General features: G+C 49.1%; 1 long non-coding RNA gene across 1 annotated transcript, besides 5 other annotated features; it reads left to right on the top strand.

Annotated features, from left to right (window-relative positions):
• Positions 426–929: an enhancer, noted in NCBI's record as "OCT4-NANOG-H3K27ac hESC enhancer chr15:70433141-70433644 (GRCh37/hg19 assembly coordinates)". NCBI's record gives its function as "activates a minimal SCP1, AML or CMV promoter by ChIP-STARR-seq in primed H9 embryonic stem cells {active_cell/tissue: H9 hESC(primed)}" and the evidence as "EXISTENCE:reporter gene assay evidence [ECO:0000049][PMID:30033119]".
• Positions 559–658: an enhancer, noted in NCBI's record as "active region_9673". NCBI's record gives its function as "activates an Ori minimal core promoter by ATAC-STARR-seq in GM12878 lymphoblastoid cells {active_cell/tissue: GM12878}" and the evidence as "EXISTENCE:reporter gene assay evidence [ECO:0000049][PMID:35858748]".
• Positions 1,434–1,939: an enhancer, noted in NCBI's record as "H3K27ac hESC enhancer chr15:70432131-70432636 (GRCh37/hg19 assembly coordinates)". NCBI's record gives its function as "activates a minimal SCP1, AML or CMV promoter by ChIP-STARR-seq in primed H9 embryonic stem cells {active_cell/tissue: H9 hESC(primed)}" and the evidence as "EXISTENCE:reporter gene assay evidence [ECO:0000049][PMID:30033119]".
• On the top strand, positions 10,846–12,156 carry LOC107984734 (uncharacterized). The gene is made up of 2 exons (XR_001751739.2): positions 10,846–10,949; positions 11,173–12,156. It is a non-coding gene; the product is annotated as an uncharacterized LOC107984734 (long non-coding RNA).
• Positions 15,887–15,936: an enhancer, noted in NCBI's record as "active region_9672". NCBI's record gives its function as "activates an Ori minimal core promoter by ATAC-STARR-seq in GM12878 lymphoblastoid cells {active_cell/tissue: GM12878}" and the evidence as "EXISTENCE:reporter gene assay evidence [ECO:0000049][PMID:35858748]".
• Positions 15,947–16,126: an enhancer, noted in NCBI's record as "active region_9671". NCBI's record gives its function as "activates an Ori minimal core promoter by ATAC-STARR-seq in GM12878 lymphoblastoid cells {active_cell/tissue: GM12878}" and the evidence as "EXISTENCE:reporter gene assay evidence [ECO:0000049][PMID:35858748]".

Here is a 23,912-nt window from a genome sequence, read left to right as displayed (position 1 = left end):
TGTGTCATCATTACCCACACTGCTGTCATGAGGTCTTGAGAAATTGTCACCGGGGTCCTCTTGGGGTCTGATGTGCTAAGAGAGGTCAGGACAGGCTAATCTGTGTCTGCTCCATGCCCCCTCCACATCTACCTGAGCCTTTGAGAGTGCCTAGCTCATTCTCCCTGCTCCTTAAAATCCTCCAAGTTCCACAGCCCCACCTAGACCTCAGAGTGAGTGGTTCACTTTGCGGCACTCAGGCCCACTCAGTGACCACAACAAACACAGCTTGCAGGGTCTGGCTGGCCACAGGTGCTGTCCCTTCTGCCCACCTGGCAAATGCTATCTCTTCTCTCCAGATTTAGCTTGCTGGCCCCCTCTTCCATAGGGCCCCTGAAGAGGCAAGTGCTTCCTTTTCCCACTCCCACGACTGTGCAGAAAGCCTCTGACAAAGCACTTTCACTTTCACATGGTGGCCACTGGTCTCCGAGGCTGTTCTCCTTTTAACTGGCAGCTCAGTGAAGACAGGGGTTGTACTTTGTTTCTCTCAGTATCTTCAGCGCCTAGACCCTGATGGGGCTCAGTGACCTTAGAGGGAGAGGGGATGAGCTTTACATGCTGATCAGGAGCACAGGCCTTGGCAGCAGGCTGGCCTGCACTGAAATCCAGTTCTGCCATTAACCTACATGTCATCCAAACCTCTCTGAGCCTCAGTTTTCAAATCTACAAAATGGGAAGATTGGTACTGCCGGCCTCATCAGGATGAATGGGAAAAACCATGGAAAGAGCTTAGCATATCACAGGCAGTAACCGGGAACTATTGTCATTATCATTGGGGAATTCCCCAAAAGGTTCCTCTGTGAGCTCACAAGAAAGCCCCTGGGTCTCCACGCCGTCTGCAGGAAGCACCCCGGGGATTGGCAGCCCTTCCCTGCCCTGCCTTCTTCTCCAGCTGCAGTCGGAAAACCCCTTTCTCAGGATGCCCCAGACAGGGCCAAGCTGCTTTCCTTCCCCTTGTTGACACAGGGAAGACCTGGCTGCCTGGAGCCTTGACTGGGCCTCCCACTCTTTGAAGTGCAAACACCGAGCTGTGTATTTTGGGCCCCTCTGAAGGGCCGTTTCTGGTGAAATACCAGGTTTTGAAATACTTCACTCCTTGTTTGCATTCGGAAGCCCATACATGCTCAGGTCTCTCAAGGCCTGTATTCAGAGAGGCTGGAGGTAATGTGGGCGAAAGAATCAGACTCTAGTGGGGGAACACAGTGGCCCTCTGCTCTTGGGCTGGGCCTACAGGAGCCACTGGAGGTGGAAGAGGGAGCTCCCTCTCACAGAGTCCACCTCTGGCTGGGAAGAGCAGACGAAGGCATGCAGAGGTATGTCCAGGTGAGCCCAGGGCACAGAGAGCTGGGACCAAAGGCTGGTGTGAAGAGTCATCTCCTGAAGACCTAGCTACAGAAATACTGGAACTCAGTGCTTCTTCCAGCCCCTCCTCTGCTCTGGCACCCACCCCCACCTCTCCACCCAGGGAGTATGTAAACTTCTCGTCCTGCCAAGAGCTGGGCAGGGAGGAATGACATTTATTTGAGCCTCACTGATCTCATAGGAGCTGTCTTAGCCCAACAGCAGAGGTAGAGGAAGTCAGAAGGGGAGGCAGGGTTGACTTGATAGAGATCTCCGTGGGTTTCTAGGAGGGTTTGGTCTGGTCTCTAGGAGGATGAGCCTCCACGTCCTGGGTGATCATTTGGGCCAGGTATTTTACACACCCTCTTTACTTTAAGCCTCATGAGGTGGGTGGTCCCATCCCCATTTCACAGATGAAGAAATCGATGCTATAATGGAACAGACTGGACTCCTTACCCAAAGGCCAGGACTGTGGTAGAAGCTCTTTGAGGAAAGGGTCCTGGTAAGGCTTGTCTTTCCCTCTCAGAGCTTGGTCCACTGACCTTCCTTGTCTACAAAAGCTCTTAAGAAGTGTTTGCTGAAAGGAAGCAGGGCAGGGCTTACAGAGGAGGGAGCATGGGGGAAGCTGACACAAAAGCATCAAGGTGAGGATGTTCGGGACCAGTTCAGAGGCTCCTGAGAAGCCGCATTTGGCCAGAGAGGGAAGAGATGGGGGAGGTAAGGACAGAGCAGCAGCAGGAGCTGACTTTAGAGGGGACTGCATCCTCCTTATACATCATGGGGTGACCAACCAGGGGCGATCTCCAAAATAGACAGCCAGCAAATAATGATGAAGCTCCGTCAGCGTGCCCGGTGCCTCAGGATCCCTCAAGGAGCATACAAAAGGCTGAGAAGTGAGCTGATTTATTTACACAGCCATCTCGTGGGTCCTATGCAGTGAAGACAAATTGCCAAAGATGATGCACTAGGCTCACATGCATTTCTCACAGAAAGGGCCATCTTTCAGGCCTTTACTTGGAGCCTATTTACTCTTAGTTTGCACATAGTCCCAGCAAGATGAGTGACCCAGATTCCCAGTGCCAGGCAGATTCAAATCAGAGGTAGAGGAGCAGCAGGCGGAGGTGGGGTTGACTTAGAGAGTTCCTCATGGGTTTGGAGGAGGATTTGATCTGGGAGGACAAGCCACCACCTCCAGGGTGATCACTTGGGCTAGGTGTTTTACATGCCCTGTTTAAGCCTTGCGCAGTGGGTGGTGCCATCCCCATTTCACAGATGAAGAAATTGATGCTAGAACAGGCTGGGCAGATGCCAGAATGGCATGGCAGGGTTAGAGAAAGGTATGTAGGCAACAAGGGGAAGGTGCTGCTGGAAGCCAACTGTGAAGAAGGGAACAGGAAAACCAAAGCAAGTTGGAGAAGAATGCTCCAAACAGAGAGCCAGCTAGGGCTGTCCTACCTAGGAGGACATTGGGATGAAACGGGCTGGACACCGTGACTCTGCTGCTGTCTAGCTAAGTGAAGTGGGCAAGTTCCTGCCACTCTGAAGCTCAGCTTTCCCATCTGAAAAGCAGGGTTAAAACCACCAGATAGTGGCAGGAATTGAAGATGAGGCAGGTGGGCCACCAGCCGAGGATCTGACTCAGGAGCAGTCACTTGCACGATGGTTGCTGAGACGATGTTACTTTTTATTACTGGGGGAAACTCAATGCACCCTAGAGCAGCAGTTCTCAGATATGTCTACATATTGGAATCATCTGGGAAGCTTTCATAAATACCTATACCTGGTTCTGCCTTCTGGAGATTCTAAACGAAATGACCTAAGGTTGGCAGGGGCATCCGGACTTTTTTTTTAAAGTTCTTCAAAAGATTTGAACACGCAGCTAAGGTGGGCTGAGAACCACCACCCTAGAAGAAACTGTGACCCATCCAACCCAGAAGCAGATGTTGAGGGTCCCATCATAGTTGCTGGGAAGGGGCCAAACCTCTTCTGGGTACCCAGGGTCTGAAAGCAGAGGAACATACTTTAGAAAGCCTTCTGTCAAACTGGTTAATTTCTTTTAAGCTTTGGCTCTTAAGGGACTGAAGTTCAATTATCTGGAAAACTCACTTATGTGGAACTCCTCACTCCCTAATGGCACTGGCTAAATGAGGTGTTACGATTCTATAGATTCTCAAATTACAGTCTTTGTGATTCTTCACCCAGAAAAGAAATTATCCAGAGGCTCACACCCTGCCTGCCCTGCCTCCTTAGGCAGCTGGGCCATGGTTAAAGCTTGTCTTCGGGAAGGGCTCCCCGGCACTGTGGGAAGATTTTGGCTTCATGCTCCAGCCAGCCTAAGTGACATGCCCGCTCCCATATTGGCTGAGCTCTGCAGGGCTATTAGTCCATTTCCACATGAAACAGCGAGCCCATAACAACATGCTGACACTGGGACAGTCACCCTCATCACCCATCCTGCAGAGCACAGCCCCACGTGAGTAGTTTGAGTGTTTTTTTTTTTTTTTTTAAATAAAGAATAAAAAGAAGCCAGGTGTGGTGGCTTACACCTGTATTCCCAACACTTTGGGAGGCTGAGGCGAGCAGATCACTTGAGGTCAGGAGTTTGAGACCAGCCTGGCCAACATGGTGAAACCCCGTCTCTACTAAAAATACAAAAAATTAGCTGAGCATGGTGGGTGGTGCCTGTAATCCCAACTACTGGGGAGGCCGAGGCAGGAGAATCACTTCAACTCAGAAGGTAGAGGTTGCAGTGAGCCAAGATCGCACCACTGTACTCCAGCCTGGGTGACAGAGCAAGACCCTGTCTCAAAAAGAAAAAAAAAATTTGTTTCATTTGTTTTGTTAGCCATTTTTTTTAACCACGGGAGTGGGAAGAAGAAAACAAAAGGCACTTTGATTATTAAAAATTTCTATTTTGTCTGGGCACAGTGGCTCAGGCCTATAATCCCAGCACTTTGGGAGGCTGAAGCAGGAAGATCACTTGAAGCCAGGAGTTTGAGATCAGCCTAGGCAACATAGTGAGACCCCATCTCTACAAAATAAACAAAAATTAAAATTAGCCAAGCATAGTGGCATGTGTCTGTAGTCCCAGCTACTCTGGAGGCTGAGGTAGGAGCATTGCTTAAGCCTGGGAGATAGAGGCTGCTGTGAGTCATGATCGCACCACTGCACTCCAGCCTGTGTGACAGAGCAAAACCCTGTCTCAAAAAAAAAAAAAAAAAAAAAGTATCTCATTTTGTTCTTAAGGACCCCACACAAGCAAAACTCAGAGATGGAACATTTATCAATGAGTTTTCATGGCCCAAATAAGAGAAAGAGAAGAGAAAGAAGGGGCCATGTCCCAGGAGCCCTTGCAACTGTCATCATTAGCTCTGTCCTTGTTTGTGTTTTTATTGCCTGTCTTCCCCCTGTAAAAGAAGCCATAGGACAGAAGAGGCCTTGGCCCTTTTGTTTACTGCTCTGCCTCCCAGGCCCACAACATTGCCTTGCCAATAGTAAGGATGCAATAAACATTTGTAGAGTAAAAATGATTTTGAACTCAGTTTTGAATCAAAGTTCTAGGACATACTATTTACCTGCTGTCTGAATCTGCTAGGGTTGCCATAATAAAGTACCACAAACTGAGTTGCTTCAATAACAGAAATGTATTCTCTCGAAGTTCTGGAGGCCAGAAGTCTTCACATGGTGGCCACTGGTCTCAGAGGCTGTTTTCCTTTTAACCAGCAGCTCAGTGAAGACAGGAGCTGTATTTTGCTTCTCTCAGTATCTTTAGTGCCTGGACCCTGGTGGGGCTCAGTGACCTTGGAGGGAGAGGGGACGAGCTTTACGTGCTGATCAGGAGCACAGGCCTTGGCACCAGGCTGGCCTGCACTGAAATCCAGCTCTACCATTTACTAACGTCATCCAAACCTCTCTGAGCCTCAGTTTTCAAATATACAAAATGGGGACATTGGTACCACAGACTTCATCAGAGGTCTGAGATCAAGATGTCAGCAGGGTTGGTTCCTTCTGAAGCTGAGAAGGAGAACCTGTTTCTTGCCTCTGCCCTCACTTCTGGGGGTTTGCGGGCAATCTTTGGCATTTGTTGCCTTGTAGAAGCATCACCTCAATCTCTGCCATTGTCTTCACATGATGTTCTCCCTCTGTGTCTAGGTCCACCTTTCTCCTTTTTTATAAGGGCACCAGCACATACATTTAGGATTCACTCTAAGGACCTCATTTTAACTTGATTACCTCTGAAAAGACACTGTATCTGAAAAAGGTCACATGTTAAGATACTGAGGGTTAGGGCTCCAACGCTTGAATGTTTAGAGGACAAAGCTCAACCCATCATACCTGCTGATTAGTTTATTCATTAGGCTGGGCACAGTGGCTCACACCTATAATCCCAGCACTTTGGGAGGCCGAGGTGGGAGGATCACTTGAGCCTGGGTGGTCGAAGCTGCAGTGAGCTATGATCACACCACTGCACTCCAGCCTGGGTGGCAGAGTGAGACCCTGTCTCAAAAAAAAAAAAAAAAGACATAAACAATTATTAATTAATTAAATTTAAATCTACTCTTATCACAACATGTAGCAGGCATCCCTTATCTGCTAACTGATCAATTAAACACTGGGAGATTATAAAGATGATCAAAAAAGGTCCCTACCTCCACAGAGCATAGAGAAGAGAGGCAGAAACAGAACTAGAGGGCTGACTGAGATCATCCAAAGAGGACTGGCCCATAATAGACCGTGCACAACAGGAGCAAGGCTCCAGCATGGGCGTAATTAATTCTGTGGATGGGGTCAAGGAGTCTTCACGGAAGAGATATGATATGGTTTGGCTATGTCTCCACCCACATCTCATCTTGAATTGTAGCTCCCATAATTCCCATGTGTTGCAGGAGGACCTGGTGGAAGATAATTGAATCATGGGGCAGTTTCCCCCATACTGTTCTCATGATAGTGAATAAGTCCACAAGAGTTCTGATGGTTTTATAAGGGGAAACCCCTTTCACTTGGCTCTTATTCTCTCTCTTGTCTGCTGCCGTGTAAGATGTGCCTTTCGCCTTCCACCATGATTGTGAAGCCTCCCCAGCCACGTGGAACTGTGAGTCCATTAAGCCTCTTTTTTCTTTATAAATCACCCAGCCTCGGTATGTCTTTATCAGCAGCTTGAAAACAGACTAATACAAGCTGCCACTTGAGCTGGGCATTTGCAGGATAAAGAGGGTGTCCATGGGTGGAGAAGGGAGAAAGGCCAGTGGACAGTGGGAACAAAGGGGATAGGCAGGATGGTGCCGGGCCTTGTAAGGGAGCACTGAGCAGTTCAGTGAGGCTGGGATGTGATCAACATGAAGCCAGGAGGCAAGAGAGACACTGTGGAGTCCCACATGTGTATTCCCTGCAGGCCAAGGGAAGCCAAGGCATGTGGTTGTGGGGAGGAGTGATTTAGTAAGGTCGCTAGTAGTGCAGGGAGCTGGAGTCCAGAAGATGACTTCCAAAAAGCCCAGGCTAGAGCTGCTGGGGTAGCTGGAGTAGGAATGGAAAGAGCCATGAACTCCAGACTTCTCCAGGGGTAAGCCAGGGCAAGTGGTGAGAAAGGAAGAGGTACAAGGAATGGACAAGAGGCTGAGTTAGGTGGTGAATGTGTTGAGTTGAGGCGTCTGGGGTGTCCCAGGTGGATATGGCAAGGCAGGAAGAATTCAGGCGAGAGAACAGGGCTGGACATGGAGATTTGAAAAGACAAATCTCTAGGACATTACACATTATGGGAGATGAGGACATTATCGGAGACATTATAGGAGGACATTAAGGGAGATGAGGCCACCTGGGGAGAATGGCGAGCGCTTAGGAAAGGGCTGAGGACAGGGCCCGGGGCCTCAGAGATAGTGAGCCTCAATGGTGGCTACACATGGCTTCATCTGGAGAGCTCTGAAGTCATACAGTGAACCAAGGACCATTCCTGGGGAATCTGATTTGTCTGGGATGGGAAGAAAGAACCAGCATTGGAATTTTTAAAATCAGCAGTTCTCATAGTTAGCTGCACATTGGAATTACCTGGAGAGCCTCAAAAACTTCTGCTGCCTGATGCCACACCCCGAGATCCTGATCTAACTGCTCTGAGGTAAGACCTGGGAGTCAGGAGTTTTATTTATTTATTTAGCAACAGAGTCTCACTCCGTTGCCCAGGCTGGAGTGCAGTGGCTTTATCTTAGTTCACTGCAGCCTCAAATGCCCAGGCTCATCACCACACCCAGCTTTTTAAAAATTTTTATAAAGACAAGGTCTTGGGACTCCAGTTGGTCTCCAGGCTTAAGCGATCCTCCCACCTTGGCCTCCCAAAGTACTGGAATTCCAGGCACGAGCCACCGCGTTTAGCCAATATGGGCAGCTTTAAATGCTCCCTATGGGAGCCAAACACATAGTCAGGACTGAGAATGCTGCTCTGCAGGGCAGGTGGTGGAGTGATTCATGGAGAAGCAAAGGGCAGATGGTGAGAAGGAGAACCAGGAGATCCTCGCAGCCTAAGAAGGCCAGGAAAGGGGATAAGTACTGTGAGGACATCAGAAGGGGGTGGCACTAAGAGGTCACCGGGCAGTGATGTGCTAGAGCCAGCTCCCACCTCTCCAAGAAAGCTGCTCCTCTGCATCTCTTCCCAACTCTGTGTTCAGTAGGTTCACTTGAGTAGCTTAGGATCAGCCATGATGAGATGATGAGTACCACAAAAAATTGGCAAATGCTACCAATCAGGATACAAGTCAGTCTTTTCTCCCAGAGAGCCCGTTGTTAAACATTTACCAGCACACCACTGTCTTTGGGCTTGAACGCCAGCTGGGCAGAGTTTGCAGGGCTGGGACAAGCTGTGTGGAAGCAAGCCAGGTTGTAGAGGCTTCCATTAGGAACTGAAAAGAGAGTCACAGGCTGGGGACGAGAAATTTCCATCTGAGGTCAGACTTTTAATCCATGTGTCTTCTATTCCGGGATGGGCTCCATCCCGAGGGTTCCAGATTTCCTGGCTGGAAATATGTCTTCCATACCCCCGAGCCTTTGCCCTCCCTCCATGTGAGCAGCTTTACAGCCTCCAGCCCCTGCTGCCCACAGCAAACGAGAGCTGCAAACACTGATTGGCCCTCACTCTGCACAGGCCCTGGAGGGACCCCAGAAGCTGTAAAACCTGGTCCCAGCCTTCAAAGCCTCCACTCACTGAACACTGAAGGCAAAAAGTTAAATGACCATGGAAGAGAGGAGTGAGAGGTTAAGTCAGAAATGAGAGACTGTCGCAGCCCAGAATTGTCAAATGGATGTGCCAACAACACATGCTGCAAACGTCGGCAGCCCTGAAGAAGAGGTGGTCTTCACTGAGGGGCAGTTAGCATTGGCAAGTGGGCAGAATGAAGGCAGTTAGCATTGGCAGGTGTCAGCTGCTGAGTTGTCTATGGCCATCTCATAAGGGGAGGACTGGGGTCTGCATTATTTTATTCCCACAAAGACAAAGACAAAGACATTTCTTTTTATGTTGAGACAGGGTCTCACTCCGTTGCCCAGGCTGGAGTGCAGTGACACAATCACAGCTCACTGCAACTTCAACCTCCTGGGCTCAAGTGATCCTTTTGCCTCAGCCTCCCAAGCAGCTGGGACTACAGGTGTGCACCACCACACCTGATTGATTGATTGATTGGTTGATTGAGATGGGGTCTCACTCCATGGCCCAGGCTGGTCTCAAACTCCTGGCTTCAAGCAATCCTCCAGCCTTGGCCTCCCAGAGTATTGGGATCACAGAGCTATTGCACCCAGCACTCCCAAAGCCGTTTCTATGTGGTTTATACTTATTGTCCAGGCCTTTTTTGCATTTCCCAAGAGCCCCTGCTCTAAGCACCTGCAAGATCCTCTGGGATGCGCTGGATGCTCTGGTTGTAGCAGAGAGCCAGCCTCCTTGGAGTCCCTGATGAACCCTGCCTAGTCCTTCCCAAGCCTCTCCTCCTCCCTACCTCCCACACACGTTCCGCTTTAATCAGCAATCCTCTCTCCTTTCAAACTCCTGGCTGGGCAATGGTAGATGAGCTCATCTGGTCAGTTCCAGCTGGCTTCCACACCAATACATTTGAAGTGCTAGCACAGGCGAAATGAAGATTGGTGCTATGTTTAGGGGAGGCATTAATAAACCAGGATGGGTCCAGGAGCCAGTGATCAAGCTATACCCCAAAAGCCAAGTCACAGGGGGAGGCCCAGGGACCAGGCATCATTTGGTCTGGTGAGAGTCTGACCCGAAGAGCTTACTTTGGAAGCTGGCAGAGCCACTACGTGGATGTGGAATTCATCTTTTGTATAGCCATGGAAGGCTGAATTTCACCAAAGAGAGGAGTATCCATAAAGCAGAAACAGCCCAGTTCCAGAGCTGTCCAGCCTGCTGCCTGCAGAGGCCTCTAAAGTTGGCAAAAAGCAAAGGCCAGCCTAATCCCCATCGGCTGGACACTAGTCAGAGAGGGCCACCTTTAAAATTACCACTGCTAACACACAGGGCAGTGCCCCCAAGACCCCAGGCCACTCCACCCTCAGCAACTAATAGGGGCCAAAGTTCCTAGGAGGGGCGTCAAAGGTAGCATTCTCTCTCTGTTTACATCCGCTAATGCTAGAACCTGATGCACTTCTTCCCCTCTCCTGGCCCTGAGACACAAGACGTCTCTGAAGCATGGTCCCAGAAAAGGCCATGCCAAAATGTAAATGATCAATAACAGTGAGATCAGCATCGAGGCTGGGAAGAAATATGACTCTGGACCAATGCCTTAAGCTACAGAGAAAAACTTCCTAGGTATAATACCAGGCAAGGCCAAGCTGCACATGGGGACTAGCCATTACGGAGCTCGATGCCAAGTCCTGTACTGAGGGCTGGACCTCTTCTATCTCATTGGATATTCCTTCTCAGAGGGCCACTGCATATTCCTCACAAACCTACCTGGAGGCAGGGGTCAGGCCGGCCATGGAGGTGGGAAAGCAAATCTTTTAAAAGATACCTTTCCGTACTCTCTCCTCCATGAAATAGCATTTTACATTATTAAATAGAATACCACACTGGAGCAGATCTTGCAGAAAGATAAAATAGAGAGTGGACTCAGCCCTATCACAGAAGGATCAAGGACTGCAGAAGGATCAGGGGCCCCTGTAGGTTCCATCTTCTCCGATGTTTGTTTTTCAGATTGTTAAATACTTAACAGAGGGAGAGACAAAAAGCCAGTGTTCCAAGCCATTGCTGATTAAGTATCAATCAGAAATTAAGACAGAACAAGTCTGAAATTGTAATGATCCTTTTTAAGGACAGGCCTTTGTACACCTGATATATATATTTGTAATATACATATATATGTATATATTTATAAATCTGCCTGGCAGGAAGCTAAGCAACTAAAGCATGTGCTTAAATAGAGGTCACCTGGCGACCCTGGCACTCAGATGGGTATCACACTTCTTGTCTTACAGGTGAGAAACTGGTGCTCTCAGAGAGCGTATGAGTGGCCCAATGTCACACTACCTCTGGGTGTGTGCATGTGGAGCCAGGATTTGATCCTGGGCAGATCAAACCCCAAGTGGTAAGTGCCACTCCTTCCCTCCTACTGTCACACCTCCCCAGTGCAGGCAGAGGAGTTACATGCAACATGCAAATGTCTTCCCTTCTCCTAGTTGGCAGGGACCTGGGCTTTCCTTGTCAGCGCGGTGGTGGGTTCTGGGTCAGACACTGCAACTCACACTTACTGAGCATTTCCTATGTTCAAAGTTCTAACTTCCATGTGTCATGTTATTTAATCATCACAGCCACCAGGTGCAGTCGATCACATGCTGACCCCCCACTTTACTGATGAGAAAACTGAGACCTAGAGAGGTTGAGTAACCTGTCCAAGACACCTGGATGATAAGCCGGACCCAGCCAACAAGCCCAGCCAGCTTGATGCCAGAATCCTCTTACCTGACCTCTGTGCCTGCCATCCCAGCTGCTAGAGTGGAGAGCCGGCCTTTCCTCGCTGCAGGATGGACCCTAGGCCTCTCTCTGGGTTTCCAGATCCTGCTCTGAAGAGCCGGCCTTTCCTCGCTGCAGGATGGACCCTAGGCGTCTCTCTGGGTTTCCAGATCCTGCTCTGGAGAGCCGGCCTTTCCTCGCTGCAGGATGGACCCTAGGCGTCTCTCTGGGTTTCCAGATCCTGCTCTGGAGAGCCGGCCTTTCCTCGCTGCAGGATGGACCCTAGGCGTCTCTCTGGGTTTCCAGATCCTGCTCTGGAGAGCCGGCCTTTCCTCGCTGCAGGATGGACCCTAGGCCTCTCTCTGGGTTTCCAGATCCTGCTCTGGAGAGCCGGCCTTTCCTCGCTGCAGGATGGACCCTAGGCGTCTCTCTGGGTTTCCAGATCCTGCTCTGAAGATGAGGAGATGACATTTAGCACCAGCCTTCTCTAACTGGCTCTAAGAGGAATCGGTGTTCCCTGGTGGTTCAGGAGTCAAAAGGGCCAACTGTAGCTTTATTCCTCTTTCAAAGGAAATAAAGCAGAGGTCCTATTTGGGGATAGGCCCTATGCCTGAGTTACTTTGGCACTTAATTGCTATTATTTAATTGCTGTATTGGGGAGCACAAAGTGATCTACTGCAAAGTTATTAGCAAATTCTAGTTTTAAGGAAATAATTACTGAATTCTCCCTCCCTGGGTTGAGTAATTCCTTCCAAGATGCTCAGCGACATTAAGCATTTTCACTAGGGCCACTAGCAGCTCTGTAATATGCAAATAAAGTAACTCTGTAATTACCAATAAAATGCTTACTGAAGTGACAAATTTTTACTCAGCAGCGAGTTGGGGGAAAAAATGGCATCATTTGTTTTTTAAGGATCCTTTAACCTTGTTAGTTGGCATTCATTTCCGTGCTGTTTTATGGTCATTTAAAAGGACAACGGAGCCAGTACGCCTGCCTTGATGGGGAGAAGCCCTCCTGGGAGCTCCCTCTTCCAACCAGCCTTGCCCATTGTGTGGAGGCTCGGATGGGCCGATCTGGGTGCTGGGGAATTGTAAGCACATGGCAGACCTGCCCTGAGGGTCTCTGTGTATGCTGGGAGTTTGGCTTTCAACTGGGTTCAGGGCTGATCTTTCCAGGTGGACAGATACAGAGTGACCTCTCAGCCAGAAGCAGCTGCCAGAGCGATCCTTCTGAAAGCCCAAGGATGGCTGTGTTGCCCCCTGTTTAAACTCTCCCTTGTGCTTTAGGGATAACAGCATCAAGTCCTGTCATTTCAGGCTCTCAAGGCCTTTCACAGCCAGCCAGCCAGTCAGGGCACTGGACACAATAAGGCACAATAAGGGCTCAAGCTACCTCTTCGCCAAGGTCATCCATGCCTCCCCATGCAAGCTTGATTTCTCTATCTGTAAAATTGTGTATCGGTCAGCATAGACTGGATTATGCAGCAGTAACAAGCAAGTCCAAAAAACTCAGTGGCATAAAACAATCAAAATGTATTTCTTGCTCATGCTACATGTTCATCATGGGTTAGTAGGAGTTTCTGCTCATCCTACTCACTTAGCAAAAAGAAGGCTGATGTAGCCATTATGGCAAACATTGCTGGCCTGTCACCATTCTGGAAGGAACATGAAACATTATCCAATCTGGAACGATGTGTTACTTCATTTCACAAGGCATTGGCCAGAACTATTCACATGGCTCCACCTCACCAACCACAAAGGGGTCAGGAAGTGAAATTCTACGTTGTACTCAGAAGAAAGAGAATCAGAAGTATAGGATGACAGCACTAATGACCACCATAAATGGGGATTTTTTTTTTTGAGACAGGATCTCACTCTGTCACTCAGGGCAGAGTGCAGTGGTATGATCACAGCTCACTGCAGCCTCTGTCTCTTGGACTCAAGCAATCCTCCTGCCTCAGCCTCCAGAGCAGCTGGGACTGCAGACACACATCACCATGCCCAGCTAATTTTTTTTTATTTTTTAGGAGAGATGGGGTCTCTTTATGTTGCCCAGGCTGTTCTCAAACTCCTGGGCTCAAGTGATCCTCCCACTTGTGTCTCTCAAAGTGCTGGGATTACAGGTGTGAATCACCACACCCAGCCCACAAATGGGGATTTTTAAAATTGTCTAAGAATGATCTTCTAAGGGTTGTTGTGAGAGCTGAGTGTGATCACACTTGTAGAGAGCTTAGCACGATGCCTGGCACATGGTAAGTGCTGAGCCAATACTACATAGTAATAGGTGCTCCATATCTTCTACATGCTTATTGGCTCTCTCTCTCTCTCTGGATCACTATAAATTGTGGTGATCAGAGAAAGCTTTCAAAGAAAAGTTAACATTGAACAAAGTCTGGATGACGCTGCAATATCAGGAGATGACTCTCTGAAAGGAGGAAGGGCGTGAGCAAAGGCAGTGAGGTCAGACAGTAGGATGCACAGGGACAGCTCTGGGAGATGAGCTTCACTGGCATAGAGTTTTTCAGAATAGTCCAGCATTCAATAGATAAATCTCAAAGAATGAGAAAAGTGGTCTTTATTCTGAAGCTTGAGTTGGCAGAAACAATTCACAAATCAGGAAAATTCCTTTGATGTGCCCTGCATTTAATTCTTGGCTCAGAAAAATGCCTCTGGAAAATAAGGTTGGCATTAGATCATCTTAACCCTTGATCTAAAACCCAGATCCCAGCTGAGAAGCTAGGCCTCCTGACTCCAAGTCCAGAGGCCACTCCACAGCCCTAGGAAAATCCCCGTGCAGTGGCTGACCTGGTTTTTTCTCCTTGTTGCCAAAGGCTCCATTTCTGGGTGACCACAGTTGCCCCTGGGGATAAGTCTTCTCTCCTATTTGCATTGGTAACTGCTCAAAGTCCCACCAAGACCTTGGCAACGTGCCACCCACATCGTCTCACACTGGCCCAATTGTTTGTGGCAAATGCCTCCCTTTTGAACTCTAGACCTTCTGGAGGAAACGGTTTCAATAGGAATAACTCCCAGCTCTCCCCAGTCTTGCCATCTGGACGTCTGGAATGGATCTTCCAGGATACATGGCTCTTTTGAAGGAAACGAATTCAATTGGTAATTGTGTTCCCATTTAATATGCCTAAGGAGTGGTCCTGTACTCTTGCTAGTACATTTTTTTTCATTCAACAAACACTTATTGATCTCCTACTGCAAATTAGACACTGGGCTGGGTGTGGGGGTGGGGAGGTGGAGAGAGTGGACGCTTTTTACAAAATGCCTTTGACCCAATAGAATAAGAAACACAATAGAGATAGGCACCAAAATCTATGGGAGCCCAGCAAAAGGGACAGTAAATTGTACCTGGCAAGTCCAGAAGGCTCAGAAAGGAGACTGGGCCACCAGGCACTGAAGAGAATGACCCTGCAGAAATTTAGGGGGGTCCTACACTTATTCCAAAGAGGAGGCTCACAGTAGTCCTGGACAAGTTTAGGATGCACACAATGAAACATGAATCCACTGAACAGACATTTTAATATGGGACCTGCTGCTTCTCAGGCACAGAGCTGGATGACTGAGGTCTCCCGAAAGGAATGAGGCATAGCCCCTGCCCTCAAATTGCTTACTGTTTGGTTATGCAGGTTAAGGTCTGAGCACTGATTATTCTACCTCACAGCCCAACCGCAGCATTCACATTGCCTTAGAAACCCTACTAAAGTTCTTCCAAGTGGATATAGCAAAATATTCTCAGGAACCAGGGGGGCCCAGGGCAGGCTTGCTGGAGGAGGTGGCAGAACCGGGCTCTGGAGAGATGGAGTGGTGGAGAGCAGGGAGGCAGGGGCAGTGGCACACACAGGCAGGTGACCACAGAGCCAAGTCACAGGCACAGCCACACACACACGTGTCCCAACAGGAAGGAAGGTCTGTCTGAAATAACGGGGGCAAAGCTGGGGTGGTGGGGTGAAGAGATATGGTATGGGCCTGAGGTCACCAATGTCATCACCACCTTTTGCTTGGCCTTTTGTTTGGTTCTTTCTCTGGATCCCACCTTTCAGCAGGCTTTTTCTTCCGAATAGACCACTTCTATTAAGCAATGATCTGTGTGTTTTCCCACAGAATAACCAGTGTTGGCTCAGTTATTATTATTCTAGCCAAAAAGAAAAAGAACACTTTCTGAACATTTCACTCTGGAGCTCCAGACTCTTCCATGGCTCCCCGTTACCCTCAGAATAAAGCCCAGCATGTGAGGCCGTTGACCACCTAGCCCCTCAGCTCTCTGCTAGGCCTTGCTGAAGTACTTGTGATTCTCCAGACCTGCATATGTGCCCCTCTCCACATGGAAGCTTCTCTTCCCAACCTCAGTATCTTCTCTTCTCTCTGGGCTCAAACCTTAATGCTTCCTCCAGGCAGTGTTGCTGACCCACGGATACAGTCTCATTGCTGAGCTCTGATCACTCTGTGTGGTCATGGTTCATTTGCTTGTCTGTCTCCCTCAGGGGGCTGTAAACACCCGGCAGGTGGGGACTCGCATCCAACCTCCAGTGGCCAGCACTGTGGGATATAGAAAAACTCAATAAAGTTTGAGTAGTGAGCAAGTGAGCACATGAGTGAATGTGAAGTGTCATTTCTGGTTGACCGTGGAGTCACATCACAGAAGAAGGTAGCAGGCATTCACCAAGCTTCAGAAAGGCGTGGAAAGAACCTATAGATTACACATGAAACCATCCTCACAGCTGCCAGACCACAGATGCCTGGCACAGGCACTGGGGAGACAGTGGGGATTTTGCACATGGGAGGGACAAGCCTTTTCCAGCCATATCTCGTTAGATAATTTGCCCAAATCACACTTGTTGTGAGAAGCGGGGTTGAGATGCCCCAAGTCTCTTGGGCTTGGGGGCTCCTGCTCTCTGCAGTGCCCCAAGAGATGCTGGCTGCTGAGGGAAGGAGGAATCTCCCCAGGCAGAGGTTACCTTGTGCCCCTCTGGAGTTTGCCCACCCTGGGGCTCTACCCTAGAATGCTCCCCTAGCACCCTCTCCCCATGCCATCCCTTAACCAGCTAGCTCCTCCCACCCTTCAGCAAATACACCCTGCCTCAGGGATCTGTTCATATCTGGTTAGCCCTTATGCACCCCCTGTCCCAGTCAAGAGGGCTGGGCAGATGGTGGAAGCACCAGCCAGGTGGTACTCACTTCTCTCATGGGTGCTTTTCCCATCCTCTCTCTCTCTCTCTCTCAATATTTCTACCTTCTGGGCACAGACAGGAGGCAGGATCAGTATTTCTGATTCCTCATGAGATGAGGTCCTTCTGATCCCTCCCACGTTCTAAACCCCCATCCCTTACATTGTCACCACCAACAGCAAGTATTAATTGTGCACCTATGGTGTGCCAGCCACTGGGGACCCAGACACACCCCAAACTCAGTCCCTGCTTTTGACGGGTTTGAAGAGACAACATGAAGGATGAAACTGTCATTAAATAACTTGCACAGGAGTCCCAAGTAGGATGGGGGGCAAAGGGGTCCCTGGTACTGAAATTTAGAGGGTACCAAAATGTAAAAAATGACATTTATTATTTATTTATTATTTTATTGATTTTGAGATGGAGTCTCACTCTGTCACCCAGACTGAAGTACAGTAGTGCAATCTCGGCTCACTGCAACCTCTGCCTTCCGAGTTCAAGAGATTCTCATGCCTCAGCCTCCCAAGCAGCTGGTAGCTGGGATTATAGGTGTGTGCCATGACACCCAGCTAATTTTTGTGGGTTTCTTTTTTTTTTTTTTTTTTTTTTTTGTAGAGACAGAGTTTCACCATGTTGGCCAGGCTGGTCTCAAACTCCAGGCTAGTCTCGAATTCCTGACTTCAAGTGATCCTCCCGTCTCGGCCTCCCAAATTGCTGGGACTACAGGTGTGAGCCACCACACCTGGCTAGGAATGACTTTTAAACATTGAACACATTTCTCAGCCCTCCTTTTTAACTCCCATGCCAGTCTATGGAGAGGACTGGGTAGGTGACCAGTTGGCTGGAGGCAACCTCCCTCCCATTCCATGTGGCCATGGACCCAAGGGTGCAACTCGTGCTTGGTGTCCCAGGCACCTACATTGTTGGCTTTGGCTACCACTGAGCTCAACAGTGAGCTGCTTGGTGTGCATATACAGCTCATCACAGAACCAAACTCGATCATCCTGAGAGGCAGGGAGGATCTCCCTGCTTTAGCTTGAGTGTTTGTCCAAGTGAGTGGAGCAGCAGAGATTTGTTTCCAGGTCTGAGAGACCCTGAAGCCAGGGCTGTGGCATCCACTGTCTAGTTTTGACCCTCACAGTGGTCCAGCTGGGGAGGCTGAGCAGATGGACATATTCTCACCTGGCAACTCATCGATGGGGTTCTCCACTGTTAAAAATAGACAATATCACCATTTTCAGGGGATGTCAAAGGCTTGCAAAGACAGACATCCATCCCTCGTTGACCAGCCATGCAACATCATGGATAGTGGTTGCTTTGTGGGCAAAACCCCTGGCCTTGGGGCTAAGGATAAGGAGGGGCAAAGGAAGAAGGAGAGTCCCTATTTTCCTCTCCGTCCCCATCTTGCCTCTCCATACTTCTAATCCTCCCCCACTCCAACCCACCACTAGCCACACTCATTCATTCATTCATCCATTCACTCCTAGTGAGCACCACTCTGTGCCAGATACTTACCTAGCTCAATCCTCAACATCAAGGAGCACTTTGTTATTACCTCCATTCCACAGAAAAGAAAACGGAGGCTTAGAGGTTAATTATCATCCAAGGTCGTGCAATTAGCAGGGGATGGGATTCCAACTTAGGGTCCAATTGTGAAGTTCTTTGAGCCATATTCCCACAGGAGGGCTCCCATCTGCTCCTGCCCTCAGTTATTCAGCCGTCCTAACAGGAAAGGAGCCTGGGAGCTAGGTGAGCTAGGTGTCCGTTAGGAGAAGTTTCCAGAATGCAGGGCTCCTCTTTTTCCTCCTCAGGCTTTTGCCAGCCCCACATCCCTGAGGCAAGTCCCTCGGCCTCCCTTGGGTTCCCCTTTCCTGGACCAAGAACACTTACTGGAGCATGCCAGAGAGGACTAATTAACAGTCTGCAGAGGGCTTGGAAGGTGAAAAGCAGCCTTCAAGTGGCAGCCTATTATCCCTAAGCTTCACATATGAAATAATGAAATTCCAGGTTCCAAATGGAGAGGAAAAAGTCCTTAACAAGGTGATAAAGGGAGGCAGCTAAGGGCCAGGTAGAGGGGAGGGTGGTGAGTTCATTCTCACCTTTCCCATGCAGGCCCCAATAGGCCCTGGGCTAAAAGTGTGGGGTCTGGGTCAGCCGCTGCTCCAGGCAACAACCTGCATCCTGGAGGAAGGAGAGCCAGCTTCCCACAGGATCCAGAGGCAGGTGGTAAAGTTGGAAGGGGCAGTTCTAGGAAGGAGGAGCCCTGGGTTCTAGTCCCCACACTGTCACTGACCTGATTCCTGACCCTGGAGGGCTCCTGCCCTCTCTGGACTCTGTTGACCCAAGAATTGACCCACGGAGTTCCAGCCCCACCCCCAAATATGGATGTCCCTTGAGGATGGGGGCTTGGCTTCGCTCCCACTGTGTTCCTGGCATGAAGTACCAAGCCCAGTACCAAGCAAGGGATCAGTAACTTTGCTGATGAGCAGCTGACTCTGGTGCTGATAGTCTGGAGTTCTAGGACTCTAAGTGTTCATTCTGTCCTAGAGTAACACAGCAGAGAAGGAACAGTCCTCCCTGTGTCCTCAGGGAGTTTCCTGACTGGCTGGGCAGCAGAGAATAACACACACACACACACACACACACACACACACACACACACGCACGCACCCCATTAATGGGTTCCCTGGGGGCAGGGATCAGTCCCACTCACTGCTGGGCCTCCAGGGCCTGCCAAAGGGGCAAAGTCACACTCAGACATAAACTCTTGGTTTTAGCAATCCAATAAACAGTCATGAAACTAAGTGAGGAAAGTTATTAGATTGAAGGGATTTGAGGGAAAGTCCCATCAAAAAGTAAAACTTGATCCCACCTCCACTTCTTGGATGAGTTACTTAATCTCTCTGGCCTCAGTTTTTTCACCTATAAAATAGAAACCATGAGAGGACCTACCTCACCAGGCTGTTCTAAAGTTAAATGAGTTAATTCCTGTACAAGCTGAGAACAGCATCTGATACAGTATCTAATAAAGTCAGTTATTATTACTTTTATTATTATTATGTACTTGGTTATCATTATTTTCATTCATCAATTATTATTCTCTTCACCTCTTTGCTGCCACCTGGAGTTCCTGGAACCCCTTCACGGCGTACAGCAGGGAGACAGGGAGGGCAGATGCCATTTGCACAGCCATTGGGACTAATAAGCCCCAGCACCCCAACACACATGGCTGGGGTCCACATCTCCCACCTGGCATCACATTTGATCCTTACAACAGGCTTGAAATCCAGAGAGGCGGGTACCGTTATACCCAGCTGCAGATGAGAATGCCGAGACACAGAGCAAGGCAGCTGTCTCCGGTGACCCAACTGGGCAGGGCAGAGCACAGATTTGCACATGGATGAGCAATCATTTGTGTAGCCAAGAAACGCCCCTTCAACAGCAATTGGCCAGGCCCCAAGGATGTAAGAGTGGGGAAGACAAACATGTTCCCTGGCCTTCTAAAGCCAACGTTCCAGTAAATAGACAAGCTAGAGAAAGATAAATGAATACATATCACAACTTGTGGTCAGGGCTGTGAAAGAAATTAACAAGGTTCTATGATCCCAAGTAAAGATGAAATTGTTCCAAGAAGACTTCTTTAAGGAGGTTTAAGCTGAGCCCTGAAAGATGAGAGGTGAAAGGAAGCTGTTGCTTCTGGCTGCCTCACCACTAATTCTCACTAAGCTGTAAATGACCAGCTGCAGGTCTGCGCCTGGAAGCAAGGTTTGTAAATGGGAGGGAAGAGGAATCTGAGGGCAGTGTGAAGGCCCTCAGGGAGGAAAAGAAAAATGGTGCTAGAGAAGGAGAGGGCTTGGAAAGGCAGAGGAGCCTTGCGGAGGTTGCAACTTCCAAGGACTTTGCTGAAAACAGAAAGCCAAGTTTAGAGGTCCAGGGAGATCCTCCCATTGCTGAAGAGGAAGGATAAGTGCCTGAGTCCTCCCAGAGACAGGCAGCGATTTGAAGCTATCAAGGCAGAAAATGAAAATCATCTGTTCCTGGGAGGAGGGATGCAGGAAGAAGACATCATTCTTAACTGGAGCAGACGGAGAGAGCGCTACACTGCAGGTCCCCCGAGAAGGGTGTCTACCGCTCCTTCCCTTCTCACAACTGTCATGCTTTAGCCTGCCCCATGCACCTCCCCACAGCCTTGCAGAGTCCCTGCTACGTGCCCCACACTCTACTCAGCTCTGAGGAGAGAGGAGAGACATAGGCCTGTAACAGCACGTGTAAGCAGGCCCGGGGGAGCAGAGAGGGCCTCTCTAAGGAAGCCCCACCTGAACTGAGGTATAGAAAGGGAGGGAAGTGGCCTGGTGTGGTGGCTCATGTCTGTAATCCCAGTACCCTGGGAGGCTGAGGCAGGAGGATTGCTTGAGGTCAGGAGTTTGAGACCAGCCTGGGTGACATAGCAAGACCCCACCTCTGGAAAAATATTGTAAAAATGAGCTGGGTGTGGTGGCATGCACGTGTGGTCCTAGCTATTTGGGAGGCTGAGGCAGGATTGCTTGAGCCCAGGTGATTGAGGCTTCAGTGAGCCATGATTGCATCACTGTGCTCTAGCCTGGGCAGCAGAGCGAGACCCTGTCTCTAAAAAAATAATAATAATTTTTTTAAGAGGGAAGGAAGTGTGTGTCTGGCAAAGGTCAGCATGCACAGTGACCTGCTGGTAAATTTCTAATAATTGGCTCTAGGGTGGGCGGTGGAGGGGTCAGCAGATTGGTAGCATTTGGCATTGTATGGTGTAAACACTCTCATGGTGGCATGATGTCACTGAACGCAGACAATCAAAGGTCAGTGGGAGCCGGCTCAAGCCCATTGCTGGGTGCTACTGGGGCAGCAGGCCTGGGGAGGGTTGGTGCAGCTCTGAAACTGGAGCCCAGCATGGGGCACCAGCGGAGGCTGCTGAAGTCACCTGGGACCCTGTGGGCCTTGGAGGGAGTGTGGGCTTTAGCCAACAAGGGGCATGTGTTGATTGTGACCACAGGTCTCTGTTTCATCACCCTGTTTCCCTCAGAGCTCTGCAAGGCTACACCCTGGGCCCAGAGTTCCTGCTGTTAATAACAAGGAGAGACTTAATCAATGAGGTCCTCTCAGGAGCAGTTGCTGGCTTTTCATCTGATGACAGGGCAGCAGGCTCAGTGTAGCCATGGATGGGGCCCCAGGGAGTGTCTCCACCTCCCTCTTAACGGCAGGCCACATGCAAGCTGTTTGTCCACCATCCCTTCCTGCCTGAGGGGGTCAACTGGGTGGCTGAGCTGGGGGCAGGGGAGTGGGCTTGGAATGGAAAAGTCCAGACCCAACTTGCACCTGCTCCAAGGCCTGGCCCTCAGCACTCTTAGACCATGAGGCCTCTCCCCATTCTCTCCTTAGAGAAGCCTGGAGCAAGGCCAAGGGCACCAGGCAATGAGAGATTGGGGCCCAGGAGGATCAGCCTGGAAGTGGGGTGGGGGGTTGGAGAGTGCAGGACGATTGTTGGGCCTGGGCCTGGAGTTCAGGGGACTTTTATTATCCCCCACTACACTTCCACCTGGGCCTGGCACTGCACACCTTGGCCATCCTGGTCCTCCCAGGTCCAACCCTCACAGGCCTCCTTGGGGGATGGGGAAGGGGTTTCCAACAAGGGGGAAGGCCACAGGAGAGACCTCTGCCCTGGGAGTTCAGAGGCTCAATCCAGCTGAACCACTCACAGCTGGGAGACTGGGGCACTGTCCCCTACACCCTAATTCTCATCAGAACTGCAAAGGGGCTAGGCAGCAATCTTTAAAGTCTTTACTTCAGACCCACTGAGATTCCAAGAAAGTCAGGCCCCACTGAAAAAGTCCTCCAACTGGGGCGGTTTCATGAGGGAATCTTCTATAAAAGTGAGGGTCACAGATTGGAGACTGAGAAAACAGGATCTCTAAGACCTTCCCCTCTCCAAGATTCTGAATCCATGAGCTTCATCTGTGCTTGGTCTCCTGGATATGTTTCTTTCTGTGTGTCAACTCTGAGCTAATTTTAAAAAATTGTTTTAATAGGCTTTATTTCTTAGAGCAGTTTTAGGTTCACAGCAAAATTGAATGGACAATACAGAGATTTCACATACACCCCTTGCCCCCACATTTATACAACCTCCTCATTAACAACATCCCTCACCAGAGAGTTCATTTGTTACAATCGATGAGCCTACATTGATGTGTCATTGTCACCCAAAGTCCATGGTTTACATTAAGGCTCACTGTTGTTGTACGTGCTGTGGGTTTTGGTAAATGTGTAATGACATGCATCCACCATCTCAGCATCAGAGTAGTTTCGCTGCCCTAAAAATCCTCTGTGCTCAGCCTGGGCAGCATAGCAAGACCTCATCTGTATAAAAAGTTTTTAAAAATTAACTAGGTGTGGTGGTGCACACCTGTTGTCCCAGCTATTTCAGAGCCTGAGGCAGGAGGATCACTTGAGCCCAGGAATTTGAGGCTGCAGTAAGCTATGATTGCATCATTGCACTCCAGCCTGGACAACAGAGCGAGACCTTTCTCTGAAATTAAATAAATCCTCTGTGCTCCACTTATTCACCCATCTTTCTCCCCTAATTTCTGGCAACCACTGATCTTTTTACCCTCTCTATAGTTTTGCCTTTTCCAAAATATCATATCACTGGAATCCTAGTCTGTAGCCTTTTCAGATTGGCTTCTTTCACTTAACAGAATGCATTAAGATTCTTCCTCACCTTCTCATGGCTTGATGTCTCATTTCTTTTTTTTTTTTTTTAATTTTTTTTTTTCTTTTTTTGTAGAGACAGGGTCTCACTGTGTTTCCCAGGCTGGTCTTGAACTCCTGGCCTCAAGTTATCTTCCTGCCTCGGCCTCCCAGAGTGCTAGGATTATAGGTGTGAGCCACTGCACCTGGCTTCTCATTTCTTTTTATCACTGAATGATGTTCCATTCCCTGGATATAACACAGTTTATTCATTCATCTACTGAAGGACATATTGGTTGCTTCCAAGTTTTGGCAATTAAGAAAAAAACACTGCTATAAACATCCATGTGCAGATTTTTTTGTGTGGACATACGTTTTCAACTCCTTTGGGTAAATACCAAGGAGTGAGACTGCTGGGTCATATGATAAGAGTACTTTTGGTTTTGTTTAAAACTGTCTTCCAAAGTGGCTGTCCCATTTTGCATTCCCACCATCAGTGCATGAGAGTGCACACATACTCCGCATCCTCCCCAGGATTTGGTGGTATCAGTGTTTTGGATTTTGGCCCTTCTAATAGGTGTGGGGTGGTATCTCATCACTGTTTTAGTTTGGAATCCTCTAATGACATATGATGTTGAGCATCATTTCACGTGCTTATTTGCCATCTATATACCTTCTTTGGTGAGGTCTCTGTTCAGATCTTTTGC

This window comes from Homo sapiens, chromosome 15 (assembly GCF_000001405.40).
Source record: "Homo sapiens chromosome 15, GRCh38.p14 Primary Assembly".
In the NCBI taxonomy this organism is placed as follows: Eukaryota; Metazoa; Chordata; class Mammalia; order Primates; family Hominidae; genus Homo; species Homo sapiens.
Note: the sequence above shows the minus strand (reverse complement) of the source record. Positions and strands in the feature narration are given on the sequence as shown.